Source organism: Homo sapiens, chromosome 8, assembly GCF_000001405.40.
Source record: "Homo sapiens chromosome 8, GRCh38.p14 Primary Assembly".
NCBI classification, from domain to species: Eukaryota; Metazoa; Chordata; class Mammalia; order Primates; family Hominidae; genus Homo; species Homo sapiens.
Genome location: NC_000008.11, coordinates 70,588,590 through 70,609,348, shown reverse-complemented (window position 1 = coordinate 70,609,348; position 20,759 = coordinate 70,588,590). Strand labels below are relative to the sequence as shown.

The window sequence follows — 20,759 nt, the reverse complement described above, 5'->3', positions numbered from 1 at the left end:
AGAATTCTGATTTAACAACCCACATTCTTAAACCACTAAGTGGTTACACCAGAGTTGTAATATTGTAGGCAAGAGGCAAGTACCCTCGGACTGCGGTAGTGGGGAAGCGGGGTGATAGGTCTGCCTCGAATTGGTGATGACTGGATGTGGAAGGGCGCTGAAAGGGCTCAATCTAGCATGACTTTGGTTTCTACATTTGGCTTATGGGTAAACAGGAGAGCAATTCTTCAGGAAAAAGAATACAAAGGACTCCAGGTTTGGGCAAAACGATAAGAGGAGGACGTGTCTTAATCCACGATCCTTTTTAACTCTTTTACTATTTCCCTTAGATTACTAAAACATGTTGTTAATTTGAATATATGTGAAGCCAGTAAACCCAAACTGATCCCTTCGTCTTCAGTCTGAGGCCAGTGGGGGATAGGGGTGGGGATGGGGACGGGGATGGGGGTGGGGACGGAGAGGCAGACCAGAATAGGGTCAGCTCTTTTTTTTTTTTTAAGTTAGTCCAAACTTACCAAGAGTAGAAATAAGTCCCCAGCAGTGCTTAACTCTGAGGTAATTTTTAAGGCAGATGCTAAAACTGGAGAATACACCGTACCCTTGTGGAGTCAGGTAGTATTCGTAGTTTTAGATTATCCTGACGGTGTTAGTCACTTGTAGAAGTGACAATGTGCAACAGGCCACTGACACCCAATCCCTGGATGGCCAGGAGGGCAGGAGGGCACCCGGCCGCGGCCTCAGGCTGCTGAGCAGGCGCAGGAAGCTCGCGCCTCAAACGACTCCCAAACCCGGGCCCGGCGCGAAGCAGGGAAGCGCCGCTCACATTCCTGCACGCTCGCCCGGCCGCGGGCCAGCGGCCTCCGGTCCCCAGGTGGCGCTGTGGGCTCGCGGAGGCGGCCGCGGCACCAGGGAGCGTCGTCTCCCTGGTGCGCATGCTCGCCCCCGCTGCGGGCTAGCTGTTGTGTTTTTTTTTTTCCCCCGGGCGGCCCGGCGGCTGCGTACTGGCTGTGGGATGGGAAGTGAAGCCCCAGCGAGCGGCTGCAGCGGGGCCGTGAGGAGCAGCCAGCGGGAGGCGGCGGCGAGTCGGTGAGCAGCTGGGAAGAGCAGAACCGGGGCGGAGCACCTGCAGGCGCGGGCGGCGGCCCCACCATGGCGATTCGCAAGAAAAGCACCAAGAGCCCCCCAGTGCTGAGCCACGAATTCGTCCTGCAGAATCACGCGGACATCGTCTCCTGTGTGGCGATGGTCTTCCTGCTGGGGCTCATGTTTGAGGTGAGCCCGCCCCGAGTCCCAACCGCCTGCCCCGCCACCTCCAGCCCGGGCCCGGGCTCCAGATGCCAGCCCCGGCTTCTCCGCCCAGGACGCGGGGGGCTCGGGCCCGGGGTGGGTGCAGACCCCCAGTCCCTGAGGTGCAGGCCTTCCCTGCCCTGCCCCACGTCGGCGGCAGCTCCCCGGCGGCCGGCCCGGAGATGCAAAGTCCCGGTGGGCCTCATCGCGGCCCGCAGGGGGTGGGGACCGCCGCGTCGCCCCCTTCCTGACCCGCCGCCGCCCCCTCCCGCAGGCTGCGCGGCGCAGTTCCTGGTTCCCGCGAAGGGTTACGTGGCAGCCGGCGAGGGGCCTGCGGGCGGGGGCGGCCCCTGCGCTGCCGAGCTGGCTCGGGGCGGGTGGGCGGACTTGGGGGGACTGCCAGCCTCGGCCGCGGTGAGCGTCAGCCCCGCGAGGGCCGGGGAAGGCCGAGGCCCGGCCCCCGGGTCTGAGGAGTGCCGGCCTGGAGACCACAGGCCCCGAGTGACAGGGGAGCCCCCGGTAGCTCCGAGATTGGGGTGAGCGAGAAACCGGAGTCAGGCATCTGCTTTCGACTTGAAGGGCGGTGGCCGCCGGGCACCGGCGCAGTGGAGGCGCGCCAGATTGTTTTCATTTTTGTCTTTTAAACTGATATTATTACCAGTTAACGAACTTTTTGCCCTGACGCTTTAAAGAAACAAGGTCTGATGGATAAATCGAGGTTCTGAACAGCGGTGCCAAGGAATCGAGTAATTTTGTTTCTTGAAGTAGGAGAGGATGGGAATGTCAGGAGTGTGTAAATTCTCTTCCCACGTATCTAGTATTTTGATGACTTATTTAACAGCTGTTGAATGTGGATGATAAACTTTGCAAGGTGAACGAGTAACATCCTACGTTTTTCCCCTCGCTCCCCAATACACACGCTCATTCCTTTGCTTTTTTCCCTTTTTAATTTTTCTCTGGAGCCTTTATGTCTCAGTAAATATACAAATTATTTTGCTCCTGCCTTGTTTTGTCTCCTCTCTCCTGCATGTAACAAGTGAGAGTAGAGATTTTGGAGTATTTTTACGAGTCTGTATTTCCAGAGTCTAGGATAGTGCCTGGGACATAGGAGTGCTTAAAAAAAGATGAGCGACGTTAAGAATCCTTGAGAAAACCTAATGGAATGATATTACCAGTGACCAAAAGGTGAATACATTTTCTTTTTAATGGAGCATATTTGTTTTTTTTTTTAATTTTAAAATTAAATAATATTTTAACCTTATTTTCGCCTCTCATCAAATGGGCTTTTCTGGATCTAGATACAGATATTATTTACTCCTGATTGTGTCATGCATGTTTGAAACCACTGCTAAGGAGGTAGCAGGTATAGTTAAAGGGTAGGTAGAAGGAAACTAACATTCTCAAGCTTTAAGTCTGGGCTGTGCCACCTACCTACTGGGTGACCCAAGTCTGAGCCTCAATTTTTCTGCTCTTTATCAGGAAATAATATCACCTGTACTGTTCTCCTCACAGCCATTTTTTGCAAGTATCAGATGATATGGTGTGAAGGTAAATACAGTGCTAGGCCTGGTGCTCTGGCTTATGCCTGTAAACATCCCAACACTTTGGGAGGCCAAGGCAGGAGAATCACTGGAGCCCAGGAGTTCGAGACCAGCCTAGGCAACATAGGGAGACCCTGTCTCTACAAATGATTTTTTAAAAATTAGCCAGGAGTGATAGATAGCACGCACCTGTGGTCTCAGCTGGGCGGCTGAGGTGGGATAATTACTTGAGCCCAGGAGGTGGAGGCTGCGGTGAGCCAAGGTTTCACCACTGCACTCCAGCCTGAAGGACAGAGCAAGAAGACCCTGTCTCAAAAAAAACCCAATGTTAAACATTTGTATTCACTTTCTGAATTTGATACTTGCATGTACTTTCTGCTTTGACCTTAAAGTAGTACTTTAATATATGTAGTATATTCAATTTTCTGTAACTTGTCATAAACCATCTCCACATGGTAAGAATTCCTGACTTTAAAAACATATTTTAGGGGTACTGTGACCTGCAAGGTATATTTGCAGTGCTTTGAATGAAATGAAATATAAATCAGAAATTCTGACACATAGTATAACTTTGATTTTATATAAACTATTTTACATTCTCTTACTATATTTCTAGGGAAGTCCACCACCTATACCTTGCCTCACATGTTAGTGATTTTTTTAAACAGTGGATTTTCACCTTTATATAAATTTATAAAATTTGAAAATCTAAATAGACAAAAATACTAAATAGAGGTTTTTAAGTCAATTCAAAAGTGAGTGTTAAAGTGATACACAAAAGTGAAGTTTGTGCGAGTTCTTCCTTTTTCTTACCATATATTAAGGTGTTAGGATTTCAAAGCATGTTATCTATATATAGGACTTTGTAGACTAGGTTAGTTTTGCTATTCGACTTTTAAAACAATTGCTGCTGAATCTCAAAGTTAACATAATTATAGAATTACAGTACTTGTGCTAGAATAATAGAGAAATTGATTTTTTTTTGCAGAACTGTTAAGCCTGTTGTGCAGATACATTGAGGAAATGTCAGAGGATTTATGGTGACATTGACAAAGAAATTCAGAAAGAAAGAAATACTGTATTACTAGCCAAAATGAAGAAGCAATGGAGATACACTGTAAAAGCATGGATTCTGGAGCTGAAGGGATTCATGTTCAAGTTAGGGCTCTGCAGCTTGCTAACTGGGTGACCTAGGGCAGCTCAGAACTGAAGTTTCCTCATCTGTAAAATGGGGCTTATTGGGTTACTCTGACAAATTAACCAATTTGTATTATGCCTAGTTCAATACTTGACTTCCAAAAGGTGTGCAATAAGTGGTAGCTATTATTATTCTTTAAAAACTCACCAAAATTGGGAAATAGAAAGCATTTTTATGTGAGAGAAGGGCCTGGAATCTCTTTAGTTAGCATCTAAAGAGATTATACATACTGAAAAGGCTAACAAAGTAGTCTGTTTGGCAGTAATGTAAGAGTTTAATTTCCAGGGAACTTCACATTAATCAAAAATTGCTTGTAAATTTTGGAATCATAGTTTTATTACAGTAAATATCTGTCCACATAATTCAAATCATAGTATACAATGAATGGCTTCATATTTGAGTTAGGAAAAATTGAATGGTCAAAAAATGTTAGGGATGCTTGGGAAGCTTTCTGAAAGTGAGTATGTGGAGGAGGGGTGAAGAATTAGGGGTTCACAAGAGAAGTATTTCTTTTAAGGAGTGTATAAAGGAAAGATATTCAAAAGGAAATATATTCAAAAGGAAAGATATTCAAAATCTGCAAGTTCTTTATGCCATACAGATTTTGGGGACGTTTACAATTTCAACAATCTTGAAACAGTTTTCAAGGTTTGGGTTTTTTTTTTCTTTCCTTTTTTTCTTTCTTTTTATGACAGGTAAGGTGCTCAGGTCAGAACAAAGTTTGAGGGAGAGACACATCTCACATATAAGCGTGAAACCCCAATCATCACACTTGTGAACTACAAAAGGGTCTCTCTTTTTTTTGAGACAGGGTCTTGCTATGTTGCCTTGGCTGGAACTTGACCTCCTGGGCTCAAGTGATCCTCCCCTCTCGCCACCTGAGTGGCTGGGACTACAGGCACGTGCCACTGAGCCCCACTGGAAGTGGAATTTGATATTCAGAATTGTCTTTACTTTTCAAGGATCCAGTCCATGTAGTGACTGGTCACATCTTCCTCTAAAACAAGTGCAAAGTAGTTAACATCTCTATATAACAAGAAAGATACCAAGCCCCAACCGGTGACATTTAATTAAAGAAATGTTGTATTTATGACATTGCATACAGCATAGAATTAGGTAATTCATTACAGTTTCTGGTAACCTATTTAAGATGCATCTGAATAAGTCTCTTTTTTCATTTTTCCATTTTTGTAAATGGAGAGCAGCTCTGTAAATGTTCAAACTGTCATAAACTCAGGTATTTTTACTTTCGAGTGCATTATATATTTCTGTAGCCTATTTATATTCTAAACTAACTTATCTTACTACTAATTAATTGTGGTGTGAGTTTAACTGCAGCAATGCTAGCAGGGTGTGAGGCTTAGGAGGCCTGGAAATGGCTAGGAGCAAGACTGCTAGCTTAAACTTGAAACTTTTTGGAGTGTGTAGTTTACATTTTTCCTCTTCTTCTTCTATTTAAACTCACATGCTAAACCAGCTGGAGGTCAAATTTTAATTTTATTTGGAAGCCTGGCTAAAAGGATAATCTAATTTTTGCTGCTTTTAGAATTTGATGCTAAATTTATCTTTGAAGAATCTCATTTGTTGTTTGTAAAGGACTCTTTTTGAGATGGAGCCTCACTCTGTCACCCAGGCTAGAGTGCAATGGCGTGATCTCAGCTCGCTGCACCCTCCGCCTCCTGGGTTCAAGTGATTCTCCTGCCTCAGCATCCTGAGTAGCTGGGATTACAGGCTCCCGCCACGATGCCCAGCTAATTTTTGTATTTTTAATAGAGATGAGGTTTCACCATGTTGGCCAGGCTGGTCTTGAACTCCTGACCTCAGGTGAGCCAGCCACCTTGGCCTCCCAAAGTGCTGGGATTACAGGTGTGAGCCATCACACCTGGCCTGTAAAGGACTCTTTAACAAAGTGTTCTTAGGTGTGACAGTGGTGACTTCATATTACAAACTGGAAACAGGGATGTGGAGTGTTTGTGTGTAAAACAGATTGTGTGTGTGTGTGTGTGTGTGTGTGTGTGTATAAAACATATATATAGTGTGTATATATAGATATATATTGTTTAGACTATATATATATATAAAAAATCTAAACAAAGATAGCAAAACTAAATGAAATGTAGTGACCACTCAACTTTACTAAAAATAATCACATGAAAGTAGTGTTGCCCTGGAGACTCATGTCATCGTTCTGCTCTAATGAGTCCTTGTTAATGACCCAAATTTTAATAGAGTAGCCTTAGTAGCCTTTTCTACTCAAGAGACCTTCATATCTAACCCAGTTCGGCAACTCACTTTACTGGCCGTATCCTGCAGTTTGTCATGCAAGCCTGACTTCTTCCACTTCCTGAATTCTAGGATAACAGAGTTCAGCTACAACCTACGTTTTGTTCACCTCCCTCATTCTAGTACTCATAAGTCAGTGCTCTACCTAGTCCAAGCTTTTGTGGTACCACGGCCCCCTTTCCCTTTCTCCAGTATATTAGCCCCCTCATTGTTTTGCCTTTCTTCCTGCAATCTTTACTCCACTATTGGCCTTTTCGGTGCCTCTCAATTCCCAGAGAAAGTCATACTCATGCTAGTAGATAATATTGCAAATCAAAGGTTTCTAACCTCAGACATTCGCATCCGGTATCTTTTTACTTTCCCTGGCCATCTCCTTTCCCTATGGGAACTATATAAATAGTCACCATTCATGTCCCCATTATGCTTAATATGTGACATTGCTTTTTTCTCACACAGGGAAAATAAAAGTTTATCAAGCACGGATTTCCTCATTTTCCTGTCTTTTGAAGTTATGTGTCCCATCCATTACTGCCTTCTTCCCATCTAAGAGGAAAAGTTGTTCAAGAGTGCAATACTCAGTCCTTACAATTTTGTTCCCTGTCATATGCCTCCATCCGTTATTCTCTTTCTATCCTGTGTGTTTAACTTCTCCCTTTTCCCTGTTGCCTTCACTGTTGCCCCCACACAAGCTCAATCTCTCCTATCCTGAAAACAACATAAAATTTGACCTGGCATCTACTGGATACCACCTTGTGCCTCTGTGTTCTTCAGTCCACTGCAATGCAGCTCCTGCTCTCACTACTTAGTTGGAATCACTCAAGCTGTGACCACTGATGACTTCTTAAATTGTCCAGTCTATCGTTCTCTTTCCTCCCACATCTCTTTTGAAACTTTTGACTTTATTAACCACACCTTTTAGAAATGTTTCCCCTTTGGCTTTTGGGACTACAAGCTCTTTTTATTTCTTTCTCTGTCTCTCTAACCATTTTTTCTTAGTTTCAGTGACTTGAAGTTTTGCTTTTTTCCCTGTTCTCTCCATGGGTCTGATGTTGTCCTACTTCTCTACAAATACTGTGCACTCTCCATATATGATTTATGTATTTTCACAGCTTCAGCTATTATCTGTAGAAAGAGACTCCCAAATCTTTATTTAAGCTAGGTTCTCCCTACTGAGTTCTAGACTTAGGTTTTAGCTGCCTTACTGCTCATCTCCCAGAAATCTCAGCTGTAGGCATCAATAAATAACCTTGTACTCTTTCTTCTAGCTTACCAAACCTTATTTTGCCTTATGAGTGCCTCCTGTATCCCACAGTCACTGTCTTAGTTCAGGTCTCATTATCTTTCATGTGGTCTCTTGCAGAAGTTTCATTCTTGGCTGCATGCTCACTCCGGTTTGTACTTTTAACTGATATTTATTCAGCGATATTGATTAATTACCTAATATGTACCAGGCCCCATGCTGGGCTCTGAAATATAGTGATGAGTGGAAACAGGCATGATCCCAGTTCTAATGGAGCTTACTTTCTAATGGGCGAGACAGAAATTATTAATATAATCAACCAGAGTATGCCTTTGAAGGAAAGGAACACAGTTCTCTGAGATAATCTAACAAAGGAAATGACCTACTCTAGGAAGACAGGGAGACTTCCTTGAAAAGGTGTAATGCAACTGAGATCTGATGGGAAATATTTTCCGACCGTATTTTAGATAGAACAGCATGTGCAGAGACCCTGTGGTAGAAGGTGCTGCAGAGGCAGAGAGAGGAGTCAGACCATAGAGTCCTATGGTCACATTCTCCTAGAAAGATGGGAATCTAGTGAAGGATTTTTAGCAGGTAGGGAGGGGGATGTGGTAACATGATGAGAAAATCATTCTAGTTGCAATATGGAGAATGGATCTGAAGGGGCCTGGGATACCACTTAGCAGGTCACAGAGAGCAATCCTTCTAAAAGGCATAAATGAACTTTCCCGTCCTCAACATTCTCCACTTGTGCGAAAGTGAAATCTAAACTACTTAGCTCAAAAAACAGAGTCCTTTCTAGCACTCAATAATGTTTCTAGTCTTTTCTAACGCTTCCTGATGTGCATCCTGTGCCTGGCCTTGTGTTCACTGCTACTTGATCTTGCCACGCTCTGTTTCTTCTATCTGTACTGTCCTCTTCATCCCCCTTTGTGAACCTAGGGAACACCTATTTTCCAGCAAAACACAGCTCCTTCATTTCATTCCACCCCAGAAAAAAAACCAACAAAGCTCATTGTTTATCCCAAGTACCCACAGTGCAAGCTATTGGCACTTATTCTACAGTATTATAACAGTTTATTTACCTGTACTTTTCACACCACGGAGCTCCTTGTCATTAGGGATTATTTTATCCATCTTCATCTCGTCCTTTTTTGTCTAGCACTTTGCCTGGTGCCTGTAAAGATTGGGTAAGCATTCCATTTTTCTGCTCTGACCAGTTTACTTTTACCAGTAGTCAGGTCAGTTAAACAGTTATTGACCACTTAACTCTGCTGGGTGTGTGGGATACTAACACACCCACACCACAGACCCTATATTTGATCTGCTTTTCTCATGCTAACTGTGCTTCTCTTTATTTTATTAATTTACACTTGAAATTTGTCTTAATAGGAACTTTTTATTCATTGTATAGGGCTAGAGTAGAGAATCATCATTTGTCAAATAACTGTTTTCTGGAACTGCAGAAAATGTCTTTTGAAATCTTAAAATTAAGGATGAATTACACAATTTTACCTAAACCGCAGAAGAGTACTCTAGTGAATTACATTAGCTCCTTGGCAATCAGTAATTTCCATTGTGTCTGTCAGGATTCCACAGGAACGAGGAGGCCCTTGGTGCTTCGATTTAGGGACAGATTTTATAATGTTTTTGCCCCGATCTGTTATTTGGGAGAGGGTCACAAATTGACTTGATCTTTGTTTTTCCTTCTTTGTAGATAACGGCAAAAGCTTCTATCATTTTTGTTACTCTTCAGTACAATGTCACCCTCCCAGCAACAGGTAGGTAATTTACGCTAAGAATTTTCTACGTAAATAGAAGTTCAGTTGAACAAACTTGGAAATTTTCATGAATGCTAGGTCCTGCGTTAATTAATCGTCAGAGATCTCATCCATGATGTGACTGAATGTTATTGTGATGATTTTATAATACAAGATCTGATGTTTTTGATTGACTTTACCCTGTATATGTTTTCTGTTTACTATATATTTTTGTGAATGGACTTGAAATTCCATAAAATAATTTTGTTTTGCTTTCTCTGCTTTCTGATTTTTTCCTAAGAAAATTATAAGAAAAGATCTTTTTAAAATTGTTTAAATGTCATTGTTCATTCAAGACTTCTAAAAGCACAATGGCAGATTTAGTTTTTCTGTAAGTTACATTTTGGACCTGTAATAGCAATCAATCCTTCTAAGATTATTTTCACTTTTTCCTGTGCTCTACTTTTAACAATTATTTTGATTCCAGAAAATGTGTTAGTAAGCTCTAGGAATTATCTGGTAATAGCATCCAAACTATTAGGTTTTATTTCAAAAATCTTATTTCTTAATCTATGTAAAAATTAGGTGTTTCTTGGAAGTTGATTGTAATTTAATACAGTGATATAATTAACTAGCATGGGTGAGGGATGGGGTATTTTTTGGTTGAGGCAGTAAACCTGCACAGTTTTTTATTTAGAATGTAAGATAATATAGTATACCACATTTAGTTGGGGTTTTTTGTTGTTGTTGCTGTTATTTATATGTGTGTTTTTAAGAGATGACAGGGTCTTGCCAAATGTGTTACCTAGGCAGGAGTGCTGTGGCGTGATCGTAGCTCACTGCAGCCTCCAGCTTCTGGGCTCAAATGATCCTCCCAGGTCAGCCTCCCAAGTAGGTGGGACTACAAGGGCACACCACCACGCCCAGCTAATTTTTCAATTTACTATAGAGATGGAGTCTCACTATACTACCTAGGTCAGTCTTGAATTTGGGCCTCAAGCAATCCTTGCCTCCCTAAGTGTTGGGATTACAGGGGTGAGCCACTGCATCTAGCCCCTGAGTTGGGTTTTTGTTCAGTTATGTACAGTTTTGTAAATATTTAATTTAGTGATTTAGTTATCAGGTTACTCAAAACTACAATACTGTTTTGAAATTTGAATATGCCAGAGAAGAATAAAGCTCTTTTATGTATATGTTCCCCATAAACATAAAGTTTGAGAATAAGTGTCAGCAATTCACAAGTATTTGATAAAGATTTGTTTTGAAAAATTATAGCAATTGCAAGGATTAAAAACAACTTTAGTAGTTGCCTTTATCTCTGCTGCTTATAGATCAAAACTAAATCAAATACAGGTCAAATCAGCTTTTTCATCAGAATCATAATTTAGTGTGTAGTTAGAAAGTAGAAGTAGAAAGTTTCAAAAGCCCTTTGAAAAAAATAGGTCAGTAGGCTAAGTATAACTTTATCAACCTAATTTATACCCCTGGGATAATATCAGTTTATTGAGTGTGGCCTCCTCTTCCCTGTTTTTTGGTCTTTGGTGGCTGTGACTAACATGTGTCAAGTCTTTGTAAGTAATTTCTAAAGCTTTAGATTTCTAGATAGTTTTGATTTTCATTGCCCCTCTAAGACTCAAGATGTCCAAGACCACGTTATTTATGATGTTAATATAGAACTTTTTTATTAGGTTATTCTTCTTTGTTTCCATAACTATGTTGTACTTAATGCTGTTTTTATAACCTTGTGTATATTTTTGTGTATTTGTGTCCTTTTTGGTCTTCAGAAGAACAAGCTACTGAATCAGTGTCCCTTTATTACTATGGCATCAAAGATTTGGCTACTGTTTTCTTCTACATGCTAGTGGCGATAATTATTCATGCCGTAATTCAAGAGTATATGTTGGATGTAAGTATGCAGTCTTAGAAATCTATACTTTATAAAGTACTAGCTCTCCATAATCTGCTAGTCATATATTAAATATAATTTATAATTTATTCTTAATTACTAATGGCTGTTTTTATTTTTAGAAAATTAACAGGCGAATGCACTTCTCCAAAACAAAACACAGCAAGTTTAATGAATCTGGTCAGCTTAGTGCGTTCTACCTTTTTGCCTGTGTTTGGGGCACATTCATTCTCATCTCTGTAAGTATGTCCTCTTAGGTTGTTGTTCTCCTTCCTTATCTAAGATTAGAAACTCTGCTAATGAAATAGTATTAAGTTAAGAGTTTCAGTGATAAATCTGTTTTAGGTATTTTTTTATACAGCAAAAATTCTAAACTATGTTTACTGTTTCAGAAAGGCTTATTCATTTTTAGTCACTCTGAATGTTACTTTTATATCTTTCTTTTTTTTTTTTTTTTTTTTTTTTGAGACAGAGTCTCGCTCTGTCTCCAGGCTGGAGTGCAGTGGCATGATCTCGGCTCACTGCAACCTCCGCCTCCCGGGTTCAAGCGATTCTCCTGCCTCAGCTTCCCAAGTAGCTGGGACTACAGACGCACGCCACCACGCCCAGCTAATTTTTGTATTTTTAGTAGAAACAAGGTTTCACCATGTTGGCCAGGATGGTCTCGAACTCCTGACCTCGTGATCCACCCGCCTCGGCCTCCCAAAGTGCTGGGATTACAGGCTTGAGCCACCAAGCCCGGCCTTACTTTTGTATCTTATAGTGGTTTACAGATACCTCTGTATCAGCAAAAAGCGTAGGTTACATGAGTTGTAATGTTCACAGTCATTTCCTCCTTTAAAAACAGCCCCAGTGTTTTCCAAGCTTCTTAAATGTTGTATAACTTTTCAGTTATGGCAATCAAAACCTTTAGTTGTATCACTCTAACTAATGAGAAAAAGAAAGGCAGTATTTGCTTTAATATTAGTGATAACAATCCCTTAAATTTATATGGTGTTCCATAGTTTACATACTTTTGAGTTTGTCAGACACATAATTCTTTCTAATCACTGTATTAGAGATGAATAACAGTGAGTTTTCCAGGGTAAAGCACTTCATGTTGGAAGTAGACTAAAACTCAGCTTTTTATTCCATTGCTCATTCCATTTTACTGTGCTGCTTTAATAATACTTTATAGGTAATATGTAAATTTTAGTTTAAAAACTATTATACATTTTTTTAAAAAAACATAAAAGTTATACTTCTGTGGGAAAATACTCTTACAAAAATCACTTTAGATTTTATTTATTTTTTAATCTTTTTTTTTTTTTTTTTACATATGCAGTAATTCTCACTGAGTAGATCTGATTATCTAAGAAAAAAATTGGGGCAGTATTTTATTGACGTAATTCCATAAAACTCGGTAGCACCCTGATCCTTTGTCTCCTGTCAGATGCTACAAACTTTTCCTGAAATCTTCTGATTACCTAAGACAAAATTCTTCTCTCCTGGTCACTGTTGTGCCTCTTATTGGTGGTTTTATGTTTGTTTGTGTACGTGTATTTTTATTCTATGGGATTGAAAGATTTTTTAGGGCCAGGAATTATGTCTTACCTGATTCCATATCTCATTTCTATCATTGATTTTCATTTTGCTCAAGTAACCAACTCAAATTGGCTTGAAAATAACTAAAACAACTAAGGATTTTGACATTAGTGGGTTCTTTGCAACCTGGTATGGGACCTGTAAATGTTTGAGAAATGAAAGTAATGCCTTATTTTCCAAGAAGTTTGCATTATGCTCACAGGTTAATTTTTATATCTTCTTTCTTAGGAAAACTACATCTCAGACCCAACTATCTTATGGAGGGCTTATCCCCATAACCTGATGACGTAAGTCATTTTTAGCAGCCCTTTCTTTGTTAAGGACCATGGTCATGTCACTATTAATCAGAATTCATTCTTGTTATTCTCTTTAGGACCTTAGGCAAATGCATAAAATAGATGAAAATATGTCTTTGACAGTCCCACTGCCGTAAGAAAAAAAAAGCTGTGTACCTTTTTTTAATGTTTCTATTCTAATCTTTTCAACATCTTTGTAAGCTTGAGACAACTGATTTTAACATAACTTAATTTGGTACTCGCTTCTTTTCCCTTCTTTTCACTCATACTTTCTCCTTTTTATGACTCCATCTTCTCTATATTTTTGCTCCTTTTCTTTGTCCCCACCCCCTGTCTCTTTTCACATCTTCCTTTCTTTCTCCTATTATAAGCTTCTTGAGGTTAGGAATTGTTTCTTTTTTATTTCTCTAGTCTGTACAGTGCTGCTGGGTTAAAGTGCTCAGTGGTTACCAAGACGTCTGAATAATTCATTATTCGAGCCCAGCTCTAGTACAACTATTCTATATTAATTTTCCTTGCTATTTTAGCCTGTATTGGTCTTTTGTATCCCCAAATTTGTCATTTTGGTAGAAATTTGATGTAGTGTCTATATATTGTTTTGATTGTTCTATAATTGTCTCATTTTTGTAAGTCTTGTATTGTGCCCATACCCACTAAGACTATATGTGCCTTGGTAGCGGTAAAAACTATTTTATATCCTTCATTGTGCCAGGTACATTGCAAGTGCTTGTCACCTACACAGTATTTAGTAAATACATTGTGATGTGAGAATTGGAGAAGGGAGAAGATACGAAGGAAAGAAGGGAATAACCTGACTGTGGGTATTTTAAGTCTAGCAGTAATACCCACTCTACTGAATCATACTCTGATTTCTAAAGTTTTATTAGTTCAACGAACTTTGTAAATATTATATTTATGTGGGACTGTATTCTCTCCACCCCGACCACCAAGAAATTAGGTTGGCTTTGTGTTTTCTATTTTAGACTTCTGGAGGAGAAGGAGCAGGGAGAATAAAGAGGAAGCAGAAGGGCTAGAGGGATATAATGTCAAGAGGAGAGTATTGGTTCTAGACTGATTATGATATAGCTCCTGGAGAGCCCTTGTGTGCCTTATTCTGACTGTCTTTAATCCTAGCTCTGCCTCCATTTATTTGGGGCTTTCTCCATGTTCCAACCAGGTACAGTTACCATATTTGCCTAAGAAAAAAAAAAAAAACAGAGGATATTTGAAATTGGGATTATTCCAGTTTCAGGTGATTATTAATCTATGAGCCTTTGCTTTTGTGTCAGTCTTTTTCCCCTTCTTGTCTTGATGAAACTGTATAGACATGTGGGTTATGTTTTCAGTAGCTAACATGACATACTAGTCAGTATTAATGAACTAATAGGGGCTCTGACTCCTCCCAACTGGCTTACATGTCAATAGCTTTCTGCAGATAGTATCTTTGCCTGCTGTTTAATCCAGGGGTCTTGTCCAATGGTGGGACTGTCACAGGGAGATGGGGAAAGAGGTTGTTGAAGAGTTGTTTAAAGGTGCACAGATATTGTATGGAATGATGACACAAAGGTAGTTACTTAGTATATCCTGATTTCCAGTATTTGTTTACTTTTTTTTAAAAAAATTATGCTTTAAAAGGTACTCTTCATTTTCTTGTGTTGTACAGATTTCAAATGAAGTTTTTCTACATATCACAGCTGGCTTACTGGCTTCATGCTTTTCCTGAACTCTACTTCCAGAAAACCAAAAAAGTAAGCTGGGATTTTGTAGTGTTAAAAAATGTCTTGTCATTTTTTTTTTTGAAAAATTTTTCTAAAATTAAGTATTTTCTTACATGTTTGCCCTTCCTCCATTCTTCTTACCTCAACTCTTACCCCATCATTCTCCCACCAACCCTCTTTCCACAAAGCCTAAAATCCTTAAGCATTTCTTGAAAAAAAAAAAAAAAAAACCTTCAGTCAGTATTTTAGCTTAGATTTTTTACATTTGATATGTTAATGGCTTGTCTTAAAATTATGTTAGTGGTAATGTAAATTAAAATTTAAACTAATTTTTAAATGTAATATTTGTTTTATCTTACTGATATTCTTAGCAAATTATTTCACAAGTGAGCCAAAAAGGATTAGTCACATTACAACTAACAGTTCTGTGTGTAAGTCCTAAAGCAAAATTCAGTATTGGAAAAAAAAGTAAAATATATTTAAATATTCACCAGCAAAGCCTCTCTTGAAATGGGTAGAGCATTCCCTTTTTAGCATGTGGAAAGGATATTTGTTTGTTTTATTTGAACAAATAAGTAAACTGCTGGAGCACTGCAAAATCCTCCTTCCTAGTTTTACCCTCAGTGCTTCTGAAGTCGGGTTCCATGCTATCACAAAAGTCGTTTTCTTTACCCTCTCCCTTCTGAAACCTGTATTGGCTCCCTATTACTTTAAACTAGAGTAATGCTGCTCAACTGTGCCCTGAGAGTTTCTCCCATCGCCACCATCTTTTCTCGGGGACCTCTTTCTCTGCTTACTCCTTATGCTTCATGCACACTGATAGTCTCTAGTTTTGTAATCCCAGCACATCACTTCTTTTTCCTGGAACACCTCTTCCCTCGGATAAATTAATCAAGTACTTTCATTTCCCTTTTTTCTGGGAGTTTTTTTTTTTTTTTTAATTCTCATATATGAAATCCTATGTGGGATTTTACTTCAAAATAATACCAGGTGAAGGAAAGTGAAGAGGGATATAGATGAAACAAGTTTGATCGTTTATTAATAATGATTGAGTTACGGGTATGTCAGAATCTTTTCTGTCTGTTGTGTATATGTTTACATTTTTCCGCATTTAAAATTTCTTTTTTTTTTTTTTAATCCCCTTTGAGAAACCTGGAGTGAAAGTGTGACAGCCAGTCTGGTGACTAGTTTATCTTTGCCTACTCAAAAGCCATAAAACACTATTTTTATGTGTGCTACAAATAGTTAATTCATGGACTAGGCACTTGATTTCCTACTGTTTCGTGTCTGTGTTCTGTGTATCTGTCGTTACTCATGTTGTCTGCTAGGATTAGAAAACAGCACCAAATTAAAGGCCATATGCTATGGTACTTAAGTTCTTTTTATGCTGATTTCTTTTATAAAGTAGATTGTTTCTCCAGCTATATTGATAAGGAATAGGATGAAGACCTTTTATTTTTAAACCCTTGATTTAGAACTGTCTTCAGATAAAATTGTTAGGCCCAGATTCCAGTAGCCCTTCCATGTTTAGTAAGCTCCTAATGTGAATCATAGATATTGTGGAGCTGTACTGTCCAAAATGCTAACTACTAGTCACATCTACATGAACTTAAAAAACAAAAACGAAATTGACTTTTTTAGCCCCAGTAGCCACATTTCAAGTGCTTATTAGCTACTGTGGCTAGTATGTACCATTTTGAACAGAGGAGATATGGAACATTTCCATGATTGCAGAAAGTTCTATTGGACAGCGCTACTGAGAGTATCATAGTTTCTTGATGTCTTAGTAGCATGGCTCAGATATTTAAAGCCTTCTTAAGGTATTTGTATACTCATGAACAAATACCTCTGGATTTCATTATTAATCCATGTCTATATCTTCTTCATTGACTATGGTAAGTAAGAAGGGACATTTCAAAGTAATTGTTCATTTTAGTTCCTGAAGCTCTTTTCTTATCAGTTCCTGCCAGATGGCACTTCTCCAGAAATGCAGTCTAATTTTTATGGAATAATTTGCATAACTCAGAACTTAACTGAAACTATTTTTAACACCTGCATATGACAGTTGAAAGTAACTGTTTCAAGTAATTAACATAATTTGAAAGTAGCAGCTGCATATGTGTTAAACAGTTTCTTAAAATTTACTCTATGAAAATTATTTTTGGAACTCTTTACTGGAAGAAACTAGTACAGTGATTGTTTTGAACCAATCATACAGACAAATAGGAAAGAAAGGAACGCTGTTAGTAGCAGTTCAAGAGGTGTGTTAGTCACAAATAACTTAGTTTCTTTCAAAGATAAAACTTAAATTACATATACTGTGTATATAAACAGTTCTCCATTTTGCCCATGAGAAGATTCAAAATATTTCGTAGACAGCTTGAATATATGAGCTTTTAGGGAAGTCATGAAATAGCCAAATGTTTTATTTCTAATATTCAATTTTAGTTTAATTATACATACATATAATTATACATACCTATAATTGCATATCATATAAAGTATTAGAAATAGTATTTTCCCCCTTCCTACTTCATGAAAGTTTCATTACACTTTTCATATGCAACTTTGATGTTAGTATCTGTCATTCATCATCACTAGAACCACTTTTTTTTAATCTGATGACATTTTTTCCACATCATGACGTCATCTTCTGTCTCACTGGTTCCTTCATTAGACCTTATAAACCTTTAAAAATGACATTGATTGAAGTTTTCGGGTGTATGTGTCTTACGCAAACATTTATTTGTCAAGATAATTAATACAGAGCTCTATAATGCAGAGCTTTGTAAAGATTTAATTATAAGATGTACCATCTGGGGTTTGGGGGGAGATCTTTGCCTTATATTTGGGGCATATATTTGATATTCAGCTTTGTTTATTTTTCAGTATAGAGTAGTCAAGAAATGTGTTTTTTATAAAAATAAATTTTTTGAAGTATGTTATATTTTTTAATAAACAGATGTTGGAATAACAACTGAAAATGGCACTTGAAGTTATTTACGATTTTATAATTTGTTATGATTTCACCCAGCCTTCTCTGTTCTCTCCCTTCCCCCACAACCCATGTAAATGTGTACGTCCAGAGACCATTGTGCTGGTGCTAGGCAAGGCTTTGTTGTCGGCCTCAGACATGTGAACACCGTGCCATCGGGGCTGTAACCCCAGAGGAAATGGAGAACATTGAGGGAGGCTGGCCTACCACAGGAATACTAAAAAGTAGCCATTTTCTAGATAAAATTTATCATTTTAAAAATCATGGTAAGCCAGGCATGGTGGCACACACCTGTAGTCCTGGCTACTGGGGAGGCTGAGGCAAGGGGATGGCTTGATTCCAGGAGTTTGAGACCAGCCTGGGCAATGTAATGAGACTCATCTCTAAAAATAAAATAAAACTCATGGTACACTACCCCTACTTCCATGTATTTTTTGTAATCATTTGGGAATACCTTTATGTAGGGTGTTTGTTAAGTTAGCCACAATTCCTACCACCCCTTGTGGTATTCTACTCATCTCTTTTTTTTTTTTATTATTATTGTTGTTGTTATCCCCATTATACAGAGAGATTAATTAGCTTGCCTAAGGTCCCTCAGCTAGTAAGTGACACAAGTATTTACCCATTCTCTTACTAATTTACTTTTTCTGTGGTAAGCTTTGAGTGTACAAACACTGCTTTAGAGACACTAGTCAATTTGTGCAAAGCTGAATGGACCATTACTTAGAAAAAGGTTTCTTGATAATCCTTTTTGAAAGCAATAGATACTATTTTTAAAACTTTTGCATAGGCATTTGATGGTTGTGAAGATAGAACCTAGTGATGGCATTTTACCCTCTATTATTATTGACTCGGTTGACTATCCAAAAGGAAAGGCTACTGGGCACAGTGGTGCATGCCTGTAGTCCCAGTTACTCAGGAGGCTGAGATAGCAGGATCACTTGAGCCCTGGAGTTGGAGGCTACAGTGCAGCATAATTGCACCTGTGAATAACCACTGCACTCCAGCCTGAGTAACATAGTGAGACCATGTTTCTATTTTTTAAAAAGGAGGTATGGGGCTAAGATACAAAGTTGAATCTGAACTTAGGAAAGAAACTCTATGGATTTTTCCTTAGCTAATGTCAAGCACAACTGCGCTCCACCTAATTGGGTTGAAATTTAAAGACAAAAGATCAGAAATGGAATGGCTTTTTGAATTATAGTTTGTTTGTAATTTATAATAGTGTTTTTAGTCTTGTCAGAGAAGAAAAGAGTAGGCAGCTTAGGTTCTCTGCTAATTGACCAGTGTGAATTTTAAAAACTTACTTGTATTTCTTTTAAATTAAAAAAAAAAAAATCCTCCTAAGTAGTTACATTACATTATAGTTTTTCCAGCAAATTAGTTTTTTTTTTTTTTTACATTGCCTTACCCAAGTTTTTATGCAATGAAATGAGTTCAATCAGCAGTTAAAAACTAAAACGCTTCCCTCATAAGTTTTAAGGGTTTTCTTGGTCTGTTTTCTCCTCTGAAATGTGGAGCATTGAGTAACACATATGAAAGAATATGGCAATATTTTTTATACCTAGTCATTTATGTGCCACCTTCCTGCTTTACCATATTCACATACTACTAATTCATACTTTTGACATTTTAATTATTAAGGTATATTAAATAACAAAATATTTTGGGTTTTTGTTTTGTTTTGTTTTGTTTTGAGACAAGGTCTTGCTCTATCACCCATGCTGGAGTGCAGTGGCCACAATCACGGCTCAGTGCAGCTGCAGCCTCAACCTGCCAGGCTTAAGCAATCCTACTACTTCAGCCTCCCAAGTGGCTGGAAGTACAGGCATGCACCACTATGCTTGGCTAATTTTTTGTATTTTTTTAGAGATGGGGTTTCGCCATGTTGCCAAGGCTGGTTTCGAACTCCTGGGCTCAAGCAATCCACCTGCATCAGCCTCCCAAAGGGCTGTTATTACAGGCGTGATCCACCACTTTATTTAAAATTTTAGTTACAGTTAAATAAAAGTATTTCATTGTGTACTGTCTGCAATCATTTTGTTCAGTACCAATGTACACACCACACTGGGAAACACTGGCATATATATAGTGGCACTTCTACATGCATTGTACATCAAATTGCATTGATAATACTAAGTGAGCTTTTCTGAGATGATTATAACGGGAGAAGAGAGGTTCCCTTGTGGTTGCATGTTATCTCAACACCCTTTCTCCTTCCTTTTGTAAGCTGAAATATTTCATTGGAAATTTACAAATTATGTAGAGAGGATCTTAAGACCGTCTATTTTCAGAGATACTTCTCTCTTCCATTGGAAGAATGACTGTAAACTTGGTATCAATTTTCCTAAGAGTCCCAAAATACAGTACTGTAAATTGTAATATTCAGACTGTCTTATGTTCTACCTAAAACTTGATCTTTGCGCCATGCTTACTAGAGAAGAGTTTTCCATTTCAAAACTAGACTTCAAAAAATCTCTACTCCTCAAAAGATTTGGTGAAGTAGCTCTCAGTACTGAAACACAGAGAAATGGAGGACCAGTAGACCTGCACTCAACTGTGCTAAATGCAAGAGATAAGTTTAGTGAGGCTGCAGAGGAACACAGTTCAGCCTGCCAGCAGCAACCCACCATTTCCATCGTTCTAATTAGTAGCTGTAGAACATGAATAGTACTAACTAGACTAATATAATCCTTGTAAATATACATACGAAGAAAACTGCTACAACAAAGGAAATTAGAAATGAGGTATAGGTGTTTCATTAGTCAGTAGGCTGGCCTGTTGAGCTTATCACTGTCAGTGTTTTGTAAACATTTTTACTGCAACCAAAGATGAAAAACTTTTTACATCATAATTCATTGTGTGTTTGTGTGTGTGTAAAATGTGGAATACAATTTTCATAATACAATGTGCTATATACTCTAGCATTTTCTTTTTCTTTTTTTTTCTTT

General features: G+C 38.8%; 1 protein-coding gene, 1 long non-coding RNA gene and 1 other non-coding gene across 6 annotated transcripts in view, besides 5 other annotated features; 1 reads left to right on the top strand and 2 right to left on the bottom strand.

The window, feature by feature from the left end:
* The window catches only part of LACTB2-AS1 (LACTB2 antisense RNA 1), a 54,703-nt gene extending 53,931 nt beyond the window's left edge, over positions 1-772 (bottom strand). The window contains exon 1 of the long non-coding RNA NR_038881.1: positions 516-772. This is a non-coding gene — a long non-coding RNA (LACTB2 antisense RNA 1). The remainder of the gene's footprint in view (positions 1-515) is intronic.
* Positions 767-936: a silencer, noted in NCBI's record as "silent region_19276". NCBI's record gives its function as "represses an Ori minimal core promoter by ATAC-STARR-seq in GM12878 lymphoblastoid cells {active_cell/tissue: GM12878}" and the evidence as "EXISTENCE:reporter gene assay evidence [ECO:0000049][PMID:35858748]".
* Positions 933-20,759, top strand: part of TRAM1 (translocation associated membrane protein 1) — a 35,199-nt gene continuing 15,372 nt past the window's right edge. Inside the window, exons 1-7 of one of the 4 annotated variants that reach the window (NM_001317804.2) lie at positions 933-1,129; positions 1,213-1,272; positions 9,267-9,330; positions 11,094-11,215; positions 11,338-11,454; positions 13,028-13,086; positions 14,759-14,843. In NM_001317804.2, coding sequence (NP_001304733.1) covers positions 1,243-1,272; positions 9,267-9,330; positions 11,094-11,215; positions 11,338-11,454; positions 13,028-13,086; positions 14,759-14,843 — 477 coding nt within the window. In that variant the 5' untranslated portion in view covers positions 933-1,129; positions 1,213-1,242. Of the gene's footprint in view, positions 1,273-1,679; positions 2,473-9,266; positions 9,331-11,093; positions 11,216-11,337; positions 11,455-13,027; positions 13,087-14,758; positions 14,844-20,759 lie in introns of those variants that run through there. The other 3 variants (XM_047421636.1, NM_014294.6, NM_001317805.2) reach the window with 3 other exon arrangements.
* Positions 1,017-1,066: a silencer, noted in NCBI's record as "silent region_19275". NCBI's record gives its function as "represses an Ori minimal core promoter by ATAC-STARR-seq in GM12878 lymphoblastoid cells {active_cell/tissue: GM12878}" and the evidence as "EXISTENCE:reporter gene assay evidence [ECO:0000049][PMID:35858748]".
* Positions 1,127-1,186: a silencer, noted in NCBI's record as "silent region_19274". NCBI's record gives its function as "represses an Ori minimal core promoter by ATAC-STARR-seq in GM12878 lymphoblastoid cells {active_cell/tissue: GM12878}" and the evidence as "EXISTENCE:reporter gene assay evidence [ECO:0000049][PMID:35858748]".
* Positions 1,237-1,416: a silencer, noted in NCBI's record as "silent region_19273". NCBI's record gives its function as "represses an Ori minimal core promoter by ATAC-STARR-seq in GM12878 lymphoblastoid cells {active_cell/tissue: GM12878}" and the evidence as "EXISTENCE:reporter gene assay evidence [ECO:0000049][PMID:35858748]".
* Positions 1,437-1,886: a silencer, noted in NCBI's record as "silent region_19272". NCBI's record gives its function as "represses an Ori minimal core promoter by ATAC-STARR-seq in GM12878 lymphoblastoid cells {active_cell/tissue: GM12878}" and the evidence as "EXISTENCE:reporter gene assay evidence [ECO:0000049][PMID:35858748]".
* Positions 4,712-4,817, bottom strand: LOC124902090 (small nucleolar RNA U13). The gene has a single exon (XR_007061220.1). It is a non-coding gene; the product is annotated as a small nucleolar RNA U13 (small nucleolar RNA).